The following is a 25253-nucleotide window of genomic DNA, read 5'->3' as shown; positions in this document are numbered from 1 at the left end:
AAATTTACATGCTAAAAAATCACCATTTTTCATTTATTACTTTCATGGAGCAACTTTGAATCTATGGTTACAGCAGGTGAGGCACCTTGTATAAAATAAAGCTAATACATGAAATAAAACCATTTAAAATTCTATTGTTCTCAGAGAATGGAGAAAGCAATTGAAGCCATGGGTGTGGAGGTGACTGCCTTGAGAAGTTGTGTATAGTAAGGAGAACTGGGAAGAAAGAAGACCTGGAGAATAGGGTGATTTGCACGGCATTAAGTGAAGCTTGCAAAAGTGAGCACTGGGAGTCAAGAGACATGTATGAATCAGAAATGGCTGCTCCTGTGAGTTGTTAGAAAGGAGATGATGCCTTCTTTTCATATCTATAACAGTAGCACCTAGCACAGTGCCTGTTCAATAGGTACTCGACATGTATTATCCCAATGCAGAGTCAAATTTTGCCAGGAAGGCAGGAAAGCTACAAATTAGCTATGGCAACTTAGTGATTGGGCTTGGGTGTGTGTGTGAGCGAGCTGGATGTCAGGCAGTGGGCAAAGTAGTGAACTGGAGGTGAGAAAACAATGACACAAACTCAGGGCTTCTCTTCCCAAGTATTTGGCTGAGAAGAGAGATGTAGTATTAAAGGGAGATATGTGGTAAAGGAAGCCTTTTATTTCAAGATTCAACAAAAGCGTGAGTATACTTCTATGTTAAAGGGAAAGAGCCAATAGAGAAAACACATTTTTGAGGTTAGAAGAGAAGGAAGAACTAATGCAGAAGGGCCCCAAAAGGCACAGGTGCGTGCAATCCGGATCAGGGACAGATTAGCTTTGGATTCCTACAAAAGCAAGAAGGGAGAAAGGACCATGTGACACTAGAGATATTTCTGGTAAAGGAAAGGTTTAGGAAAATATCTTTTGATGACCTTTATTTTAACATAATTTTTTTTTTTTTTTTTTTTGAGATGGAGTCTTGCTCTGTCACCCAGGCTGGAGTGCAGTGGCACGATCTCGGCTCACTGCAACCTCTGCCTCCTGGGTTCATGCCATTCTCCTGCCTCAGCCTCCTGATTAGCTGGGACTACAGGCACCCGTTACCATGTCCAGCTAATTTTTTGTATTATTAGTAAAGACGGGGTTTCAACGTGTTAGCCAGGATGGTCTCCATCTCTTGACTTCGTGATCCGCCGGCCTCGGCCTCCCAAAGTCTGGGATTACAGGCGTGAGCCACTGCACCTGGCTAGACTTTAAAAAAAAAAAAAAATACTGTGGGAAAAAGGATATTATGTATAGAAAAGTCTACACTTCTTGATACAACTAACTAAAAAAAGCCTGATACACTAAACAAAACCCAAATAATGTCTTCCCTAAAAGTGGGTAACTTGAAAAGCAATTCGAGCAAAAATCAAGGAGTTCAATTATAAATAAGTATATCAACAAAGTGAAAGATGGGTTTAATTTTTCCCACAAAAAGTTAAAAGAAATAACAGCAGTTTTAGAGGAAGAGGAAAAAATAATAAGAAAATTATATGCAGTTGCAAAATGTGTGACTATTTACAAACTCTAACATATAACTACAAAACGGACCAGAAGAATCATTATCATAGGAAGCAAAGGGTCATTTCAAAAATCAGAGGAGGGATGATTCATATTTAATTTAATTCTGTGGAAAACATTTAAGTAACCTTTGAGGACAAAAATAGGTGATATGTTGAAATGCGGGAAACCACAGTGGAAGGAAAAAGAATTCAAGAAAGCTCAGTTTCAGTAACCAGTATCTAGTAAAATCTTCAGGACCTAGAGGCTACAATCTGCATTAATAGTGTCTGAAGACCTAGAAATGTCATTAAATACCATTTTGGATAATTCTTGTAGACTTGAGATGATGTCTATTTAAAGTTACAAGACAGTGCCTGTATTTCTGTATTCATAACAGAAAACAATTGGATATGGAAAAGAAACTAACATGCTATGCCACAATCTCTAAAGAAAGATTAGGGAAGTTTCAGCTTAAAGCAAGAATAATCACAATAAAGTTTTACAACCCTTTGCAAGCATATATGAAAAACTTACAAAAAGTTTGTAATGATCTTTTCTTAAGCTAAGAGAATGGAAAAAATGAGAAAAATTAAATTATAAAATGAAACTTTGGTTTAGAGGTAAGAAACATTTGATGACAGTCAAGAGATCAGGGTTGTACAGTGTATTATGTGAATGTTGTGACTCATTGGTTTCATCTTGGATATCATAACTTGACATTTTGTAAAAGTGATTTTTCATGGGAGTTTTTTCAGGTGCCCTATAAAGTCCTGTCCCATGAGAAGTGAATAATAGTCTTCCATATTCTTGAGATATCTTAATGAATAGCATCTTCTACAGTCTTCCATTGTTTAGTCCTTGGAGAGACACTCATTAGTGACTGTTAAGGTACCTGAGTTATTAGGTGCCTGTAGACTATGCCCAGTGATATGTGCATTAGGTACATGCTCCCTAGCTGCGTTGACACTGACTGAAGCTGTGAGGTTTCACAATGACATGTCAGCCAAATACATATGCTCAGATTTACCATTTATCAAGAGGTCTTCACACTATCAATTGTGCAATTATCATTCTACACACAGGCAGCGATAAAGGGAGTAAAAAAACACAGCCATGGATCGGGAGACTAAGGTACCTCCAGAGGAGTCCAGTGGGTCCAGAAGCCCTTTGGATGTTGGTCAGAGGCTCCTCTTGGGCAGAGATCACAGCAGCAGCCAACAGGTCTGGTGAAATCCTTAAGAGTTCTCATGGACAAAGTTTGTGAAGGCATCTTAGACAAGATATTGTCTTTGCTGGTTTTATGATCCTCTGCAGATGGGTCTATTCTCATTATCTCAGCCACCTTTCACTTCCTATCAGTTCAGTTCAGGTCTCTCATGATCCCAGGCAGCAGTAGTTGTTATCACGTGAGTTCATTCATATATGTTTATCTCTTTGGGGATGGGGGGACAACTTCACTGTGGACTTAATTCTACTGGAGATGAGTGACCCCATTTTAAGACAACATGATCACAAATTATTATCACATATCAGCAGGGCAGACAATAGCTATGACCTGGGGCTGAAAGCAGGTAACTCCATTTATTCTGCAAACATTGTCTTGATTATGGTGCCAGTTGCTGTGAGGGATTTCCTTTCCACCACCTGTTTTTCACAAGGTTTGAGTCTGAACTGCTAACATTCTACTGATTTCTGGGTGAAGGGACTGACTGCACCATCCTAGCCTGTCAGAGCATTCGCCCCAATACTTCCACTTTAAGAGTTTTCCACCTTGTCCAGAACTACAGTCCATTAATCCCCTCATTTTCTCTCTTAAGAGAATAAACAGGCCAGGCGCGGTGGCTCACACCTGTAATCCCAGCACTTTGGGAGGCTGAGGCGGGTGGATCATCTGAGGTCAGGAGTTCGAGACCAGCTTCACTTACATAGTGAAACCTCGTCTCCACTAAAAAAAATAATCACAAAAATTAGCCGGGCATGGTGGCAGGCACCTGTAATCCCAGCTACTCGGGAGGCTGAGGCAGGAGAATCCCTTGAACTCGGGAGGCAGAGGTTGCAGTGAGCCAAGACTGTGCCACAGCACTCCAGCCTGGGTGACAGAGTGAGACTCCCTCTCAAAAAAAAAAAAAAGAGAGAGAGCGAGAATAAACAACCCATGTCAAGTACACACCCACATCCCTCTTATCCCAAATACCAAACACACAAAAATCCAATCTGTCTCCTTCTACCTAAGCAATTTTAGATAGTCACTTTCTCATAATTACCTTAAGCTCCCTGACTTGCTGCTCGTCCTTTCTCTGGCAAAATCTCATCCTTGGATGAGCCCGACTTTGTGTTTGCTCAATGACACCACTCACCTGAACCAGAAAAAATATCAAAAAGTGGTCAGAGATATCATCATAAATTCAAATTACTTACACAAAAAAATTGGCCCTAAATGTTTCCAGAAATCAATAAAAGTTTTGTTTCTCCAATGACATCATTTCTTCAGAAACCCAACGTGTATAACCTATTTTTTCTATGTTCTTCTAACATTTATTCAACTTCTCTCATCTGATATCTTGCCAAATCATTCAAAGAGAAAATATATCCCATTAGGCAAGAGCCCACCATATTCCCATCACCTGAGAAAATCATATGCACAGGATGCACCCACCTCATCTTTCTCTGCCTCATCATGTCAGAAAAAGTACCCCACCTTTTGCCACAAGGCAAATCTGAGATAAAAGATTTAGATGGCCTGTAATTCCAGCACTTGGGGAGACCAATGCAGGCAGATTATTTGAGTCTAAGAGTTCAAAAGAAGCCTAAGCAACTTAGGGAAACTGCATCTCTTAAACAAATACAAACCATTAGCCTAGCATGGTGGTGTGGTGGCACATGCCTGTAGTCCCAGCTACTCAGGGTGGGGAGCACTGAGGTGGGAGGATCACCTGAGCTGGAAGGTTGTGGCTGCAGTGAGCCGTGATCACGTCACTGCACTCCAGCCAGGGTAACAGATATTTTTTAAAGGATCTTCTCTGTTAAAATAATCCAATAAACAGGTGGCCATGAGGCTGAGGTGGCTGCCGTGCACTCAATTCCTCCTTAAATAAACCAAAACTTGACTCAGTGTAAATAATAAAAGGAAACTTAAGCTTAACCAATCAGAAACCACCAACTAACATCTAACTAGAGACCTTCCACTGTAATGTTCCAAATGAGGCCACTGCTCCACTTTACCCAATCAAGTATTTTCTTTTTCTTCCACATTCACCATATAAAATTCTTCCCCCACCCTCCCTAAGCCTCTCTGTGGGACCTCTGAGCTGCTTGCAGTCTGGGGCTGCCTAGTTTATACATTTCTGAATGCTCAAATATATTTTCTAATGTTTCAAAGTGGCTCTGGTGTAGGAGGTTGTTGGTGGAGTGACCCGAGAGTATACAGGAATTGAGGGCATATGAGATCTCTGGACTCTGTACTCCATTTTGCTGTACACTCAAAACTACTCTAAAATAATAATATATCTTTAAAAATCTATAACTAGCACGTAGCCCTTTTCAAGCCTCCAACTGGTTGGAGCCAGTTCGATTAAAGCTCAGAAGAAAAACTGGTTAATAAGCTAGTTCTGACCCAACTGGCAAGAAGCAGCAGGAAAGACCCAGGCCAGGGGAGCATATTGCACATGCATGCACCAGGAAACTGGAGGAAGCTTGGAGGCCCTTTAGCCTGGTCCTGAGCCCGCTGAAACTGCAGTTACAGGCACAGATGCCTGGGGCACCAATCTGAATCTGCCAACATCCAAGGCCACATGAACACAAATGCGCAGTCTCCTCTGCGATCGGTAGCTAAGGATGTTAGGCCATGATTGGACTAGGATGGGAGATGAACTGAGAACTCTGGATTCTGTAGGTTGTTGTTGTCTCTTCCCACCCCCAAGCAACAAGTGATGAACACACACACACACACACACACACACACACATCCTGTAGTGACTAACAGGATCTCCCTCCAGGGGATTTGCAGAAAGGGGAGCAGAAAACATCCCAGGGGCCTTTCACAGCTACTTCCTTGAGCCCCCTTTCAGACTGCTGTCTAGACCTGTCGCAGCCCAAACATCATCACCCTGATATGCAGAAGCTGGCATCCTTACCTGAAATTCAACACCAAGAAATGATCTCTTCTACTCAACACTGATAGAAATACCTCTAAGCAACGTCCTCATTGGCAGGGGTGGAGTGGGGAGTTTCTTAAAAAGGGAGGCCTCTGCCTACCACCTAGAGAACCTGGAAATTTCCATCTGTGCCACAAAGTCCAAATCACTAGCCACTGCCCCAGTGTATGGCAGATTAGAACATCTCTCCATTAGATCTGGGTTTCTATTCCATTGAGTGAAATGGCTTTTCTATTACAGGAACAGAATAAGGGTTCAAAAGGGTCTTACAACTGAACTCCAGTGTACAGTCTGCACAGACACTAGGCTTGTGCAAATATGACACAGCGAGGCCCCAGGACCCTTAAGCCAGCTGAATGTACTGAGTTTCAGGAAACAGTGAGATACATTCAGCAAAACAGTGGGCTTCATGCTGAAAGAAGTCACTCCAAGTAAACACACATCACACACACACACACACACACACACACACACACACATACACACACCCGCAGACACCCTAGTGGCCAATAGGTCCTCTCACCAAAAACCTGTGATCAGGAGAGCAGAAAGCCTCCCAGGGGTCCATCACTGCCCTTTCTGGAGCCCCTTATCAGATGGCCAGCCCCAGGACAGCACTGTCTGATCCTGGTCCAGTCCAAACCGCCATCACCCTGTGATGTGGGAGCTGGCCACTTCACCAGAACCTCTGTGTCAGAAAAATTTCTCTTCCTTTTAAAATGATGAGGGGGAACTTTCAGACAGTGTCTGATTAGGGTGGGTGGAGAGAGGGGCTTCCTAGAAAGTCAGGCAGGGCAGGGCTGAAGCCCTCTGGGTTAACTGAGTGCTTTTGATATGAAGGCAGGTAAGACTGGACAGGTGGGGGTGTTAGTGAGGGGATGGTGTAGGGTGTGCTGAAGAACTCCACTTGAGCTCTGCACACCAGGGAAAATGACCATAAAACATCCCATCTTCACTGCTCAGAGAAGGCTAGATCTGCTGTGAGCTAGAAAGCCATGTGGGGGCAGCTGATGAGTCATCAAATGGGAGAAATCTGAGAGCCATGTGTTCCACAGGCCTCTGGTCCTTGTTCAGGCAGCAGGGCACTGTGACATGTGGCTCCTTGGCCCCTTCCAGCCACCACCTTGATTGCATGCTGCAGGGAAAGAGACTGAAGACCAAGAATGGGGTCTTGCTCACCATGGGATGATGGCTCAGTACAGAGCTGAGCTATGTATGGCCCAAGAGGCAGAATGTGGGGATGACCCAGGCTGAGCTGGGGGATCCAACTGAACATGCACTTGCTAAGAAGCTGTGGGCTATGATGCCTTGGGACCCCAGTCTGGGTCTAGAATTGTAGCAAAACAGGCTACTGGTAAAAGTTCTTGGGAAGCCAACTCACTTTTGCTGTCATCCATGGGCAAACAAACCAAGCCCCACCACTTCCCACTCCCTCTGAAAGCCTCCTGCCCCTCTGATCGACCACACCACAATGGTGTCACTCTGTAAGGCACAGGTAGACAAGGCATCCAGCCATGAACACTACAGGGCGCACACATGTCCAGAATACACTGGTTCTTGTTGAGACTCCACTCTTCCAACTCAGACAGAAGCTCCCCAATCTCCTCAGCCACTCCCAACAACTGGAGGTCTGAAAACTTTCATGCATGCCGCTATGGTCTAAACCACTCGTGGCGGTTTTCATTTTCATTTTCCTGATAATCAGTGATGCTGAGCACCTTTCCATATGCCTTTTCACCAACTGGATGCCTTCTATGGCTAAATGTCTATTCAAATCCATTGCCCATTTACAAATCTGCTTTTTTGTGGGCTTCTTTTTTTCTCTTTTTTTTTCCTATTTATTTATACAAGTTCCTTAGGTATTTTGGATATTTTTTAAAATGATTTTCAATTCCACTGCCCAGTTATAATTTTTTTTTTTTTTTTTTTTGAGACGGAGTTTTGCTGTTATTGCCCAGGCTAGAGTGCAATGGTGCGATCTTGGCTCACAGCAACCTCCACCTCCCAGAGTCAGGCAATTCTCCTGCCTCAGCCTCCTGAGTAGCTGGGATTACAGGCATGTGCCACCATGCCCGGCTAATTTTTGTATTTTTAGTAGAGATGGGTTTTTTCCATGTTGGTCAGGCTGGTCTCAAACTCCCGGTCTCAGGTGATCCATCCACCTCGGCCTCCCAAAGTGCTGGGATTACAGGCGTGAGCCACTGTGCCTGGCCAATTATCCCTTTTAGTGTTTTTTTGGGGGGTTGGGGGAAGAACAGAGACTCACTCTGTCACCTAGGCTGGAGTGCACTGGTATGATCTCGGCTCACTGCAGCCTCCGCCTCCCAGGTTCCAGCGATTCTCCGGACTCAGTCTCCCGGGTAGCTAAGATCATGGGCACGCAACACATGCCCAGCTAATTTTTGTATTTTTAGTAGAGACAGGGTTTCACCATGTTGGCCAGGCTGTTCTCAAACTCCTGACCTCAGGTGATCCGCCCACCTCGGTCTCCCAAAGTGTTGGGATTACAGGCGGGAGCCACCACTCCCGGCCCCATTTTGTGTTTTAACATCAGTCGACACTCGTATTTTAAAATAATAACAATGAATGGCGCTACCTTAGAACAAAGGAATTATAGATCTTTCTCTTGTCCTAGTGCAGACATTTTGTCTATAAAATGTTATTCACAGATGAATTCATGAGAACATTACTGTGAATTTTACATCCATATACAAGTGTATGCTCATTCATGAATATTTCAATAAAATAAAACTAATAGCAAAAAAGAATTCCAGAGTTGAAGCAGTTTCAGGAAAAAGGAGTTGGCAGTATGAAGTAAAATAGCAAAAAAATTTTTTTTTTAAATGGGTATATTTGTGTCTACAACTTTTTTTTAATTATAGCATTAGACAATGTGTATATATATACGTATATAAAGCAATGGAAGTAGCATTGTTTTCATACTAGTCTAGAATATTAAAATATATGTAATATGTGATCAGCAAAATAATGGCCCCCCAAAGATGTCCACAGATTCCTAGAACCTTACATGAAAACGGTACATCATGCATGTGATTCAGGTAAAGACCTTGACATGAGGAGACTACCCTGGTGCTATGGAATGAATGTTGTGTTCCGTCAATGTTCATGTGTTAAAATCCTAACCCTCAAGGTGATGGTATTAGGAGGTTAAGCCTTACGGGAGACTCTGCCCTCATGACTGGGATTAGTACCTTATTAAAGGCACAAGGGAGCTTGTTTTTTCCTCTCACCATGCGAAGACACAGCAAGGAGGAAGCCTCTATGAGAAAGCAGGCCTTCACCAGACACCAAGACTGCCAGCACCTTGATCTTGCACTTCTCAGCCTCCAGGACTGTGAGAAACAAAGTTCTGTTATTTATAAGCTACCTGGTCTAATGCATTTCCTTGTAGCAGCCTGTACGGATTCGGACAGTGGGCTCATGTGGATGATGACGGTGTCTCCATTCAGGACTAAGTAAGCACATGAGTCCTTAACAGTGGAAGAGAAGGGGGAAGGAAAGAGCCACAGAGACATGTGGCCATAGAAGAAGGGCCCATGGGATGCAAGGTTGCTAATGGTGAGAGTGGAGAAGAGCCCAATGCCAAAAAATGCAGGCAGACTCCAGAATGTGGAAAAGGCGAGAAAAAAGATCCCCTAGAGCCTCTAGAGATGAAGGTAGCCTTTCCACCACCTAGATTTTAGCCCAGTGAGATCCACATCACACTCTGACATACAGGAGTGTAATAAATTTGTTTTATGCCCTGACATACTGGTAGTTTGTTGTAGCAGCAATGGACTAGTAATATATAAATATATATATATATACACACACACACACACACACACACACACAAACACTACCCCCCCACCACACACAACATAACTATCTATATATATCCTGCCCTTCAAAACTGAATCAGATAAACTACACATTAGCATTAACTTAGCTGGGTGTGGTGGCACATGCCTGTAGTCCCAGCTACACAGGACGCTGAGAGGAAGGATCACTTTAGCCCAGGAGTTTAAGATCAGCCTGGGCAAACACACTGAGGCCACATTTCAAAAACAAACAAACAAAAAACACAACAAATCTTTGATTAAGCTCATTTCCCAAATTTGAAGAGGAAACAATTATTAGATAAAGAGGAGAAAAGAGAAAGGTAGAGCTGCTGACTTCTGTGGTGGAAGCACAGACACAGGCCCAAACATACTCCTGTCCTCCTGGCTTTCCTGTCCCTTCTCATAAGGGACACAGGAACCTCTCAAACTGAACCATGGATCACAGAACCATACTCAGAACGCAATACAGTTTTGTCTACAATTTTTTATATATCTGTGTCCCTGTCTCTGCCTCCCATTCCCAACTCCCTTACTCTTGTTAGAAAAAAATGGCTATTATCAAATATGAGTACATCCTTATATACTAATGCCAACTGATCACCAGCTGGTTTTCTTCTTTTACAAAGTCATAAATATTTAGGCTTTAACACATCTTCCAAGCAATAGAATGTTATTTTCCAGTTCATTAACACAAATTCTATATCTAAAATGAAGACTTCACAAGTTGATTTAAATAACATATTAACGAAAATCGACTGGCCATGGTTCAAACTGACATTTTAATTAAATGTGATGATAGGTTGAGCAACCTAGCAGTACTCTAAAATGACTTTTGGTTATGGCTTTTTCCATATTATGTTTAGGCTGAGGCATCCCTAAATGATTCAATTGTAATTCCCCTTCTTAAACATGAGATTTATCTTTACAAAATAATTTATTTTCTTAAAATTGCAAGTTAATTCTATAGTTCATGCATACATAATCTCAGTAGATATCAGCTGTATGTGTACACACATACATATAGGTATTTGTATATACACACATTACATAATTTAAAAAAAAACTTATTAGCAGGGTACAACCACGAAGACAAAGAGGCTTTGTGTAATGTGATGGAAACACAATTGCAGGACAAACAACAGGCTGCTGTGAGGGCTGTATTTACCCTTTCTGATGTAAGACTTGGAAAAACATGGATACTGGATATTTAATCCCCATAACAGAAAATTTAGGGTGCAGACAACTTCCCACAATTTTTACAGACAATGTCAATAGAAATGCATTCAATGCAGGGAATACACAGTGTGACAGTATACAAAAATAAGCAGGTTGATGGTTTAGATTTATGAGACAAGAGAAAGAAATAGTAGATGATGTCATAATTCTCCTTTTATGGAGTTATGAAAGTTCTTCATTTTATATAAGGTCAGGTGCTTTCAAATGTCAATGAGAAAAATATTTAAAGGAAGAATCAAATCTAAGATGTAGAGAGATCTTTATAAACGTGAACTTCAGGCCAGGCACGGTGGCTCATACCTGTAATCCCAGCATTTTGGGAGGCCTAGGTGGGCCGATCACGAGGTCAGGGGATCAAGACCATCCTGGCCCACATGGTGAAACCCCGTATCTACTAAAATACAAAAAATCAGCCAGGAGTGGTGACGTGTGCCTGTAGTCCCAGCTACTCAGGAGGCTGAGGCAGGAGAATCGCTTGAACCCAGGAGGCAGAGGTTGCAGTGAGCCGAGATAGCGCTACTGCACTCCAGTCTGGTGACAGAGCAAGACTCCATCTCAAAAAAAAAAAACAACTTTTTTTCATGCTGAGAAGATATAATCATCAACACATTCTTGAGCACAACTATGCACACAGGCACTTCCGCATTCACAAGCCATGCTGTGTGCACACACTGATGCCCCTAGATTCCTTTTTTGAAGAGATGGTCTCTTGGTGTGTCACCCAGGCTGGAGAGGAGTGTTAGGATCATAGCTCACTGCAGCCTCAAACTCCTGGGTTCAAGTGATCCTCCTACCTCAGGCTCCTGAGTAGCCTGAACTATAGGAATGAGCCACCATGCCCAGCCAATGTTTTCATTTTATTGTAGAGATGAAATCTTGCTATGTTCCCCAGGTGGGTCTTGAACTCTTGGCCTCAAGGAATCCTCCTGCCTTGCCCTCCCAACATGCTGAGATTACAGGTGTGAACCATTGTGCCCAGCCACCGGATTCTTTATTAAGAAGAAAACTTGTTTGCTGACATGTAGGCAATGAATTGATGAATAGTAGTTCATAAATTACTAATTTACAAGTCAATATAAATGAGTTGAGTAAACACAAAATAACAGCATAAATTAATGAACAGTTTACGACCTCAAGTTTCTTTTTTTCCTTTAAAACATTGCTCTGACAGAGACTACTACTTGTCCATTCCATGGAAAAGTCAGAGGTGGTTAAAATGTCAGAGGTACACTTATTAACACCTTGCTGCCTTTTGTGTAGCTTCCTCTCAGTACTTCACCAGTTGGGATTGACACACCTCTCCAGCTGGGTTCAGGAGCCAGACAGGAGCACACAGAACAGGGAATCCAAAGCCATCTCTGACACCAAAAGCAATGAAAACAAAAATAACCAAACATATTATCAAGAAATGAACAAGAGATCGATATCAAGTACAGCAAAAAGAGAAGAAATCACTTAATCTGCCAGGCTTTCATTCTGACAAAATAATTTACAACACGCATGTCTCTATCTGACATGTGTGAATAGAAAAAGAAGAGGTGACAATAGAGTAGAGGATTCGTCTTCCAATTGTCTCTGATCTATCCAACCTTTGTTACACATCAGAGAGTTCTCCAATTTATAAATAAACAACAGAGATATGTGGCAACCAGGACACAGAGACATACTGAGAGTACTGCTCAGCTCTCTGCCTAGGCCTGATTCTGATGATCCCTGACAATGAGCACTGTGAAATTTACAGCAAATCAGTACACATACACACAAACACACAAAAGAGATACTTCATGGGCAAAAAGCACCAAAGATATAAAATAAAATGCCTGAAAGACCATAAAACAACTTCTGATGAAATGCTGTTTTCATTTTGCAGTAGTAAAATATTCACCACCAAATCTACAATTAGCTTAAAAATTACAATAAGTACAGTACTTTTGGATCCCATCTCCAATTCACACCTTATCAACATGTAATAATCACACTGCATCTACAACAAAGCTGGATGGACTTTATGTGCTGAATACAACTTGCACACTAAGAAGGAAATTTGTTGAAATAATGAGATTCCAAAATTTGTATGCCATGCTCTACTTCACAAGTTAAAAGAAAATACAATCATTTCTATTTTAAAATGCATTGAAATAAAATACAGAAAATACAGTATTCTAATACCAGTTAACATTAAGAGAATATATCTCTAAACCAAAGATCTTGGATCTTCTAGAAACAAAATCAGCTGGTATATATTTGGATAAGAAAAAAAAATTAAGAGATCAAGAAAGGAGAGAAGACGTTCGCACAGAATCATCTCCAAAAATGGCTTTCTGACGCATTCGACCAGTTTTCAAGTCTATTTGTTTTTCCTCCTTTGGCATCAACAGCCTATATCACCAAGGATATGCAAAATAATTCAATTTGTACATTAATCAGCTAATCTAGAACTGGAAATATAGTCAATGAAAATACAAAGAAACAGAAAATGTCAATGAATTGCTTAAGATGTTTAAGATGACATAGCGTAGGGAAAAAATGATCTGATAAACACCGGAAGAGTTAATAAGGAAACTGAGGCATGGTTCCCTAACACCACACTTCAAAAGAACTTATAGAGAGAATAAAGGAATAACCCTTAAAAAAAAAAATCTAATTTTAGAAAAAAATTGCTCAAAAGGGAAGTTAGGGTTTTATAGATCTTCTGGAAAGCTGATTAATTTCTAAGCTAAAAAAACTATATGAAGCTTTTTAACGTAGCACAATAGATAAAAGTATGAAAACATAAATTAGAAAAAACTAAAAATCATACCATAAGGGATGGATAAGTTAGAATACAGGAATAACAGGCCAGGCATAGTGGCTCACATATGTAATCCCAGGATTTTGGGAGGCCAAGTCGGGAGGATTGCTTGAGCCCAGGAGTTCGAGACCAGCCTAGGCAACATAGTGAGAACTCGTCCCTAGAACAGAACAAAAAAAATTAGCCGGGAGTGGCGGTGCACTCCTGTAGTCCTAGCTACTTGCGGGGCTGAAGCAGGAGGATCACTTGAGCCTGGGAGTTCAAGGCTGCAGTGAGCCAAGATCACGCCACTGCACTCCAGCCTGGGAGACAAAGTGAGACCTTATCTCAAAACAAAAACAAAAACAAAAACAAAGAAACCACAATAACAAAAAAACACTGGTAACAATAAAATCATGATTACATAAAGACTGTATAGAAAAAAAATCCTCAGAATATAGAAATAAAATTACGTATTTTACCTGTAGCTATATTAGAAGAGAGTATTCTTGTAGACAAGGATGTCTAGAAGGATACGCAAAAATGAAAACAGCTAATAACACTCATTATGTCAGGCACTGTGGTAGGTAGTTTATGCACATTGTAACAAATTATATACTACACTATCTCAAAATTTTCAGATAAATTTTACTGGAAGTCATAAATCAATACAACAAAATCAGTGTTTTGCAAACATCCACTAAGCATAAAGGTATACAAATTCCCAACCCAGACTGAAAAATAATTCACATAAGCCACACATTAGTGGAAACCTACCCATGGGAGATAATACAACATAATCTAAATAAAACTTTCAGAGACAAGGCATGTGGCTTCTGGACAGCCACAAACTCCCTGACTCTGCTCTAGTGTTTCGGCCATCAAAAGAAAGCCAAGTGGCCTCAGGTCTCTGAAAAACCAAAAAAGCAACCTATGGAAGATGGCGTGGTATTTGAGGAATATTTGAAGTCTGTTGAAAAATGCATCCTGTATTTTTTTCAAGATAAGACTCCCTTGTAATGTCAGGTAAGTGAAGAGCCCTCAGAGACACATGCACACACAAAGAAAAACAAAACGACATAGAATGAATCCCACCAAAATGTGTTATGATGGCAGAATTATGGGTGATACGATCTTCTGTAATATATCTTTTTATTAAAAATAGAAAAAAAGCAGACTTACCCTTGATTATCTATAGCCTCTGACCCAAGTGGTTTGGAATTGGAAAGCAGCATCACTCGACTTGAAGCCATCTTGGCATCAATGGTGGAGTAGGTGGAGATGAGACTCTGGACCAGCTCATGGGTGAGCCCCACCTTGTCCTATCAAGGCCACCAAGAAAGGGCACGTGAGGAAAGCACAAAGATCCTGGAGAGACACTGGTTTCACTCAGTTTCTCAAAATTATCTTAGACACATTTCCTGAGAACCTTTCTTAATGCCACAAACACCAGAGAAGAAAATCCTTATAACAAAGCTTGAAATGGATCCCCATCTCCATTAAACTTGTCCAAAGCTCAGTGAGTATATAACCTGATAACCTAAACACCTAGCTAGAAAAACCTCAGTTCCAGTGCTACAACAGTGCTAGCTTTTCTAACATTTTTAAGTAACCCTGCTTTTAACCCAATAAAATTCAACTACAGAACTAAGAAATAAATATTGGAAATCCACTTTAAAATAATGAGGAGACCACTGTGATTGAGAAAAAGAAAAAGACAAACGAGAGCTGGAAAGCACACTGATTTTGTAGAAACGGAAATAAGCCGTGCAGGTGCCACACTGGCAGCAGTGCCCGCGCTGGGGCCACGGATCAAGGAGGCATGGAGGACAGGACTCTTCTGCTTGGTACAATGAAAAAATGGTATTCTTTTTATTCTACATATTGACAATATGCATTTGGGCCTTTATTATAAGTACAAGAGAAAAATCTTCAATAAATAAAAGCTGAGTACATTACTTTTTTTGATTAAGAAATAGATTAGGAAAGAATAATGAGAGTTCAGAGCAAAGACTCCTGCCTCACTGATGCCTGAAAACCGTGGCTGCCACCAAGGTCAACACAGACAGCGTCTTTGTCATACAGCACACCCTCAACTCCAGAAACAGGCGCATAAACCAGCTGCTCCTTCTTATTTAAACAGCACTTCTTTTGTTATTCAGGAAGAACACAAGGGTCTGGGAGGAAACTGATGTCACTCATGGCAAAATGTTCTACCCCTGGAAGACAGGACCCAAAAAGCCAGCTTCAACTGACAAGAAGTCAGTAAGTATCTACTGTTGACTGGGGGGTTAAAAACGATCCACAGTCCAAGGGCTTAACCCATGACCCTAAAGAAGGGCATTGTGCCACACTGGAACAGTGGCCCTCTAGCTACAAGAGGTCAGAGAAGAGGGATTCGGTAACACCTTTGCAGGCCTACACATAGCTGGCTTACTTTTAAAACCTCCAGCAAGGCCATCTTCCCTTGTTTGGTCATTTTTCACTTTTCCTGAGAAATGAAGCCATCCCAAGAATCCTATGTGCAATTCTCGTATGTTCTACAGCAAGAGAATACCTGGCATGTGAATTTGGCTTTTATTTTTCAAGTGTGCTCCTCTTAAATAACCATAAAGTGACACCTGCAGGTCACATTTGATGTTTGTTTGGATATCCTCCGGGTTTGTCAAATCTTCCATCCTAGAAAAATAAACTCAATCATACAGCAGAAATGAATGCCAAAGTTCCTATACCTCCTTTCATGTGTCAATGACTCATCACACTCTTGTCCATTAAGCACATCACTTAGGAACTAGAAAATGCAGAAATAAGGAAGCACCGTTCACCATCCAGAAGAGGAAAAGGGGCAGGCACACAACTGTGTCTCTAGGCTGAAAGTGACATTCATTCCATAAGACACCAGATGGGAGATGGCGTCCACCTGGGGTCAGGGAAGAGTGAAGAACACATTCAGAAAATCCATTTCTCGAAGAGGGTGAGCCTGTGCTCTGGGATTTGTACTGTGGCTTGGATTCTGGCAGGTGGAAAAAGGGTATTCCAGGCTGAGAAAATCACAGCACAAAGAAGAGCACAAAGGAAGGAAACTGAAGGCATGCACGAAGGACTCCAGCACCCGGGCATGAAGGCAGCATCACTGAAAACTGAGGCTGAACGTAGGATGGGGCCACATCCTGTAGTCTTAAATGCTTCCAAGTCCTCCCATTTTCCTAAACATCTCATAATTAATTTACTCCCAAAGGCACAGCATCTTTGAGCAATGATATAAGTAGACATTTTCCATCAACTACACTTCTACCCCCACTATTCAAATAGGCACAAAATAAATCCTATCACTGTTCTTTTTCTAGCCTTTTTAGCTTTGAAATATATGGCCCAGGAAGAAAAAGTTTACAATCACCTTTTAACTGTCTGCCAGGATATAAGGGTGAAAAGTTTGCCATGAGAGGCCTAAACTTCATAACTGTAATAAAATGGCCCAGATTGTGGATTTCTTGGTTTTGATATTCTCCATGCACCATTCCAGAAAGGTAGAACAGTTTGGCAACCTAAACATTAAAGGAAAATTAAAAATTAAATTTCAATTAAATTCTCGTCAATACTGCAACAAAATAAAAGCTCTAAACAAGAAGCAATCCTAAGAAGGGAGACTTCCAGCAAAGCCACTGTCCTGAGGCTTCCAGAGCCTTGCTGGATTCTTTCAGGACTTATTAGAACCACACAGAGGCAGACTGCTCTGCAACCAAGCCGGGGCATCCATCTAAGTATGGTGAGGAGAGGGAGGTGAGGCCTCTGAGCACAGAAACGGTTCTGTGGCCGATGGACCACAGCAGTATGGAAAGGAAGGGGCAGTGCCTGGTCCTGTAACTGGGAGAAACTTCTGATGTACTCTATTAAGTCCCGACTCCAAAACACCCAGACATTGCCTGGTGCAGCAGGTACGGAGACAAATGAGATACACCAAGAGGCCCAGAATAACCACTCTCTTGAGGGAAACCTTCCAGAGACTGGGAACACATACACAAAGGGAATTCAGGAGGCAATTCCTAGAGAGACGTTTAGTAATGTCTCTTCAGTCTTTTTGTTTGTTTGTTTGTTTGAGATGGAGTCTCACTCTGTCACCCAGGCTGGAGTGCAGTGGTGCACTCTCAGCTCACTCCACCCTCTGCCTCCCAGCTTTGAGCAATTCTCACGTCTCAGCCTCCCTAATAGCTGGGATTACAGATGCATGCCACCACACCCGACTAATTTTTGCCTTTTGAGTAGAGACAGGGTTTGGCCATATTGCCCTGAGCTCAAAACTCCTGGCCTCAAGTGATCCACCTGACTCTGCCTCCCAAAGTGCTGGGATTACAGGCGTGAGCCACTGTGCCTGGCCTCTTTAGTCTGTTTTTAAAAGATTATACTGTTAGTTTCTAACAATTATTTCTCTTCCTACCTGGTAAACTTCTGTCCAGAACCTGTGTTTTAATCACTTCTTTGTCTTCTTCAGTTGCTTGTTATGCTTGAAGGAGTCGAGGTGGGTGAGAACTCCCAGAATTTTAGGAAAGCCATGTGCTTGACAGATGTTTAGAAACTCAAACATTTCCATTTCAAACCCAAAGCTGGCATCTATAAGCATCAGTACCTACAAGCACAACACATTATTTCTCGAAGAAACTACCAAAACAGACCACCTACACTAGGGGTTGGCAACTGGCCCACGGGCCAAATCCAGCCCATCACCTGTGTTTGTAACTAAAGTTTTATTGGAACATAGCCACATTAATTCATTTACATATTGTCTATGGCCGCCTGTGCACTACAACTGCAGAGCTAAGTAGCTGCAGAAGATATGATCCACAAAGCTGAAAATATTCACTATCTGGCCCTCGACAGAAAAGTCCCACTCCAGACTAAATCAAATGACTACACAGGCATCACCCAGACAGAGAAACCACCACCCTCTGACTTGCTCTAAAAGGCAACCATAAGACAAGGCCACTAGGATATAAACATCCATTTTAAGAATTCTAATGCATGAGAAGTAACTCAGAAAAGGCTGGGTCTAACCTGGCCCTTACCTAAGAAATCCTAATTTAAAGAAATGAAGTTTTCTGTAATGTATTTTTAAGCCAAATAACAGGTCTCTGACATCCAAAGAATGGGAAGAAAGTGATAATCAATGAAATATATTAAATACGTACAGAAAACCAACCCCTTCTTTCAATCTCCTCACAGAAAAAAAAAAAAAAAATCTGTTTTTTTGCTGGGAAGTATACAATGGAAACCTCTAACTTGTATGTTAATTTGTATAACTCAATTGCTCAGAAATATTTGAAATAGCTACCAGTTTAGAATTAAGTAAAAAAACAGAAAGATTATGATGAATGGTAGTCTATAAGAAAATATAAGCAGATAAGACCAATTTTTTTTTTTTTTTTTTTTTTGAGACAGAGTCTCGCTCTGTTGCCCAGGCTGGAGTGCAGTGGCTTGATCTCGGCTCAGCGCAAGCTCCGCCCCCCGGATTCATGCCATTCTTCTGCCTCAGCCTCCTGAGTAGCTGGGACTACAGGCACCCACCACCACACCCGGCTAGTTTTTTTGTATTTTTTTAGTAGAGACGGGGTTTCACAGTGTTCACCAGGATGGTCTCGATCTCCTGACCCCGTGATCTGCCTGCCTTGGCCTCCGAAGTGCTGGGATTACAGGCGTGAGCCACCGCACCTGGCCAAGACCAATTTTTAAAATTTAAGACACTTCAAAGATGCAAAATAATTTCAGAACTGATTCCTGGAAACTTGTAATTTTAATATTAAAGATAGTTCTGTTTGTATCTTTCCATGGATAACTAAAAATAACACAAAATGGAAACAGAAATGCCCATCCTTGATTAAACTAGGAAACATCAAAACCCAAAACCACAGAATATATGAAGTTGGGCTTGTAGGAAAGCACAGCTGCCACTGCAGACCAAGGCAGCAAGCAGAGCTCTCCAGCAACACTGGACCAGCTCAAAGAACAGGTGGAATATCCTCACACCACATCTGATGCCAGAGTGCCAAGGGACAAGCAGCTGGTTGTAGGGTCAGGAATAAAAGGGAGCAAACAGTCCCTCAGCTGCCAATCTTTGCCATCTAAGCCAGTGTCACTCCCCTAATCCACACACGCACGTACACACCCAAATCCACGTATTGTGTGTGCCTCTGCTGTACTCAGGAGGCTTTGACAACCCAGAGCAGAGCAATCAACATAAGCTAGACTAAATAAATTATGGTGCATCCACAGAATGGAATGTTATATTAAAAAGAAGGAGGCAGAGCTACAGTACTTACTGATTATATACCTTCAAGTATATTACATGAAAAGAGCAAAGCATAGAACAGTGTATAAAATAAGCTACCGTTTGTGTTTTTAAAGGGTGGCATGTGTGTTTATATGTATCTGGAAGGATATACATATACATATACATATATATAAAGGTCTGCAGGGACCTGAGAGACCAGAGGTTACAGCAAGGAAAGAGAAAATGCGCATTGTGTGTACCGTGCATTACAGTTAGAGTGCTTTACCAAATGTGTGTGCTCCTTTTGAAAATCTTAAGATTTACATAGGCATCTCTCTCAATGATGGTTAAGAGGCTGGGAAGGGGAGCAGGGAGGGAGGGACAAAGAGGGAAAGGTTAACAGGTACAAAAACACAGTTAGATAGAATAAATTCTAGTGTCCAACAGCACAATAGGGTGACTATAATTTATTATATAATTCAGAATAACTAAAAGAATGAAATTAAAATGTTCCTAACACAAATAAATGATAAATGTTTGAAGTGACGGATCTCTGAATTACCCTGATTTGATCATCACACATTGTATGCTTCTATCAAAATACTACATGTACCCCATAAATATGTACAACTATTATGTATCCATAATAACTAAAAATAAAAAAATGTAAATGCATCTCTTAATATGTATGTATTTAAAATTAGAAACTTGCTACATTTTAAATAAAAGAGAAACAAATGACTTCTAGGAACTATTCAATCATTTCAAGTATACAAGTTTAGTAATCGTTACACAACTTTACATTAATTACACTTATTTTTACTAATAGTAGCATTACATGTTCAAAATTTGAATGTTATTTAGTTTTCTGACATTACAATGGCACAACTTTAAAATCTGTATTACTTTTTCCTTTATATTTTAGGAGTCTTCCTAGGCCAAAGTATAAAATCTGTAGCTCTAGAAAAAACTAAATAAAAATGAAAAAAACAAGGTATCTGTCACCCCACACTTCCTAATCAATATGGCTTATTTTTTTGCTAATTTTTTTTTTTTTTGAGACAGAATTTCACTCTTGTTGCCCAGGCTAGAGTGCAATGGCGTGATCTCGCCTCACCGCAACCTCCATCTCCTGGGTTGAAGCGATTCTCCTGCCTCAGCCTCCTAAGTAACTGGGATTACAGGCATGCACCACCTCACCCGGCTAATTTTGTATTTTTAGTAGAGACGGGGTTTCTGCATGTTGGTCAGGCTGGTCTCAAACTCCCGACCTCAGGTGATTCGCCCACTTCGGTCTCCCAAAGTGCTGGGATTACAGGCATGAGCCACTGTGCCTGGCCTTTTTTTTTTTTTTTTTTTTTTTTGCCAATGTAAAAGATAGTTCATAGAATATCAGAAATAGTGAACATTATCATTTCCATAAATGCAAGAGCATGTACATTTTCCACACGCTGAGTACTGCCTGAATTTTCTATTGATAAACTCTGACCACTTCTTCAGGCAATTCATGTACTTACTTTAGCATTATCATTAAGGATGAAGGTTCTAGAACCATCAGGAACAAGGGTCCCATCTTCACACAAGTTACTTAACTGCTGGGAGGCTCTATTTCATCTTATGTAAACTATAGATAATACCTACTCACCTCAAGGGTGTATGTAAGCTAAATTTGTAGAAAGCAGTTAGCACAGTGCCAGGAAGGGTCCAAGAAGAAATGGTACTTACTATGATATATTTGTACATATATATGTATGCATGTAAATGAGCTCTTATTAGCTGTGTTCATTAAAGGTTTTCTCCATCCTGTGATCTGCTTTTAGATTTTGGAACACATTTCATTGTGCACATTCCATTTGTATTATTAATATGACAACATTTATTACTATTATTATTATCATCATCAATTCAATCACATCTACTATATCCCTGATAATGACCATGATCCTTTTAATAATCACAAAACTCTCTTCCCTTCATCACGGGGTAAATAACCTATCACAATGCTGTAAGTCTCCATCAGCACCCCAGGCTGCCCCTGCTCACTTACCAGATCTGCTACTTTAGCCAGATCAATCATCATGTTAATGTCACACCCACATTCAATAATGGTGAGTCTGCGCTTTTTACCTATAAGTGAAAAGATGAAAATTTTACTTTAAAAAGACCCTGAAAAAACTCTAACCATCAACTCTTAATTTTCATTTTTTAACTGCATCCAGTAAAACACCACATACGTTTACAGGAGTGTACCAGAAGTTCATTTTTATAGGCAAAAACTGGTAAAATAAATTCCATCCTGTTTTTCTTCCTGTGTTCTAAATTTAGATAATATCAAAAGCCTACCCAGATGAATAAAAGTGCTCAAAACAGGGAAAATTCTGACTAGACAGGCTCCACGATAACCATGATCTTGCTGTTCAGCTGCAGGCCAATGTCTTCACCTCTATCAAAATTTCCTGTATTCCCACTATCGCTAAAAACATCCTCAAACATAATGCAACAGAATATTTACAATGATAATTATTTCTAAATTAAGGTAATAAGAAAATGATCAAGAAAATATTGGCTGGGCACAGTGGCTCATGCCTGTAGTCCTGGCACCTTGGGAGACCAGGGCAGGTGGATCCCTTGAGCCCAGGAGTTTTGAGACTAGCCTGGGCCACATGGGGAAATCCCATCTCTACAAAAACATAAAAATTTAAAAAAAGGAAAAAAAAGAAAAATTAGCCAGGCATGGTGGCATACACTACTCACAGGAGGCTAAGGTAGAAGGATTGCTTGAGCCTGGGAGGTTAAGGCTGCAGTGAGCTGTAATCACACCACTGCATTCCAGCCTGTGCCACAGAGCAAGACTCTGTCTCAAAAAAAGGAAAATAAAATATGGATGCGCCAAAGATAAAGAAAAGCCTCAATCCAACTATATTACTGCAATAATAAGAGATTTCAGAGTGTACATTGCCATTCTACCACTGGATGTTTGTTTCATCTTCCCTCAAACTTGGAAAGGTCACCATCTCCCAAAGCAGACAAATTCTCATAGGAAAAAGAGAAAACGCGCACTTCCACCAGCATGTGGCTTCATAAGGGCAAGCATGTGCACCTGGCACATAGGAGGTACGTGCTGTCTGTTAAATGGTGTGTTCGCAGTGACCAGGCCTGTCAGGCCCTTCCAAGGAACATGCTTGGCAAAGCCATAAAGCAGTCAGGATAAGGTATGTATCACATCCTTATCTCTGGGAACTTATCCTTTTATGAAGTTATAGCTAACTTAGTAAAAGTAAGAGAGAGGTAACATGATATGACAATATTTAACATGTTCCACTCAAGAAAACAACAAACACACGCATGTCCCTCAGATGACAACAGCCACACCAAGTCTGTGTCTGTGGCGGCATCTCCTACCTGACACGATCGTCACAGGGCCTCTGATCTCGGTGAACTTCTGCCAGGTGAAGTTCCGAATGAGGCATTATATCAAAGTGCTCTTTCCAACTTTGGAGGCCCCGTCACCACTACCGCTATTGGTGGCGGCTCTAGTGGAGTTCCATCAACCACTGGAATATGATGCTTTTGTGTCTTCAAATCCAGAGTCCTATTTATTTAAAAAAGAAAAAAAAAGTAAACTCACTTTTAAAATAGAGTAAAAGGTATCAACCTTATAAGTAGACTTTTTTTTAGTATAATTACAGATATGAGTACTTTAGTATATTTTATAGAGAGTACAACAGACAATATAAAAATATAAGTAACTTGTCAATTATTAACTTCTGACCCCTATCCAAATCAATTGCTGTTCAGTAAAGATGTAACAAGATGACTTCAATAGTATAGAGTTGAAAATTAAACACTCCTTAAATCTGACTGTTTTATGAGTGATTTTTATAGTTTTTTAAAAACCAAAAGGTAAATACTGAGGCAGTGCATCATAACAGATAAGAGCAGAGGTTCTGGAGTTAAATTTGGCTCTCCGACTTACTGGTTGTATGATGGGAGGTAACTTGTTTTCTTGACCTCAGTTTTCTTGTCCATAAAATGAGGGCAAGAATGATTCCTACTCTGGTAAGGCTGCTGGAAGGATTTAGTTGAATAACGTTTAAAGTACACTGCTAAGAATATCATAAGGACTCACTAAATAAAACTATGTTAGTATTACATATTGTAATTTTTGTATTTTATATTACAACTTTGTAAAACATATCCAGAGGGAAAAAGCACACTTATCACCATAGAAACAGTTTAAAGTTTAGGAAGAATCAAATTCTATAAATTCTTGTATCTTGGGCAAGAAACACCAACCAGTGTGCAGATGCTGGAGGCAAGGCAGCTTCTATGGCAAGTCCTCTCACGTTTTAGTAAAAGCCACACAGCATGCATCTCCATGTCCTTTGGAGCTGGACTAGACTTGTGAATCCAAATGTCACCTGTGAGAGGCTCCTAACTATTTAAAAAGATTCAATGGAAGAACCATCAGACTGTAGCTAAACACACCTGTGAAAGGATCGAGACATCCACACAGCAGACTGAACTGCAAAAGCATTGGCATTTCTCTTCTGGGCATTTTCTTCGTCTCCTAGCTGGAGATCCTGCAGATGCCACTTCTTTTTCTTTGCAGCTTTGGGTCCACTGTTTTTCTTTCTGTGTTTCTTCTGGTCCTTAGTCTCCATAGTGGCTATTTACCAATAACAAGTAACTCTAACCTACAAGGAAGAAGGTTGGGGTAAGGAGGTGGGAGAAGCATTTTACAATCCAGGCAATACCCAGGGAAAAACATTAAATTTCATTTATTTCTTTATGAAGACATGATGTATTTGTTCACTGAACAAGGGTAGAAACTGCTTAACCATCCCCAATTTCATTTCTCTCTGTTATGCTATAAATTAGATGAGTTACCTCTGCTAAGGTTACATTCTATGGTTAAGTTACTTTTTACTCGTCTCAAGTGTCAACATCACCAGTACCTATTTCTGCAAGGATGGAAATATTCTATATCTGTACTTTTCAGCCATTTAGCCATTAGCCACATGTGGTTACTTAAAATGTACTTCAGAGAAACTGAAAAAATGAATTCTTAATTAATTTCATTCTAACTGTAAATAGTCACATGTGGCTACCATACTGGACAGCTCAGACCTAGACATCGACTGGACTAACGAAGTGGTTTCCTAACTTAAACCAGAACTTAAATTTCAATAAAAAATTTAAAACGTTTTTATGAACTTCCAATAGGATCGCAGTATTACTTTTAGTACCTGTTGACTCTAAAACTTCTAAATTACAGCTCATCTACATACAATTGAAAAATAGCAATATCTGTATGTGTGAGATATGACTGGTTCTAGATGATGCCTGGAGGCCCCATGGACTTACAGAGACCCTTCCAGTGATTTCTGAGGTACCTGGGAATCTGTGGCCAATAAATTGGTAGTCACTGAATCTGTGAGTTTTTTTGGAATATCGGGCTGCATA

At 40.7% G+C, this 25253-nt stretch overlaps 2 pseudogenes across 1 annotated transcript in view; one reads left to right on the top strand and one right to left on the bottom strand.

Moving 5' to 3' along the window:
- Positions 1-886: 886 nt before the first annotated feature.
- BMS1P1 (BMS1 pseudogene 1) overlaps positions 887-25253 on the bottom strand; it is a 25257-nt pseudogene continuing 890 nt past the window's right edge. Inside the window, exons 2-9 of the transcript NR_003611.2 lie at positions 24276-24484; positions 23190-23379; positions 21835-21914; positions 17961-18149; positions 16923-17070; positions 16083-16204; positions 14708-14847; positions 887-3880 (exon numbers count right to left, since the gene is read on the bottom strand). The product of NR_003611.2 is annotated as a BMS1 pseudogene 1 (transcript). The remainder of the gene's footprint in view (positions 3881-14707; positions 14848-16082; positions 16205-16922; positions 17071-17960; positions 18150-21834; positions 21915-23189; positions 23380-24275; positions 24485-25253) is intronic.
- Positions 5303-5418, top strand: RNA5SP311 (RNA, 5S ribosomal pseudogene 311; annotated as a pseudogene).

Source organism: Homo sapiens, chromosome 10 (assembly GCF_000001405.40).
Source record: "Homo sapiens chromosome 10, GRCh38.p14 Primary Assembly".
In the NCBI taxonomy this organism is placed as follows: Eukaryota; Metazoa; Chordata; class Mammalia; order Primates; family Hominidae; genus Homo; species Homo sapiens.
This window is presented reverse-complemented; position numbering and strand designations above follow the sequence as displayed.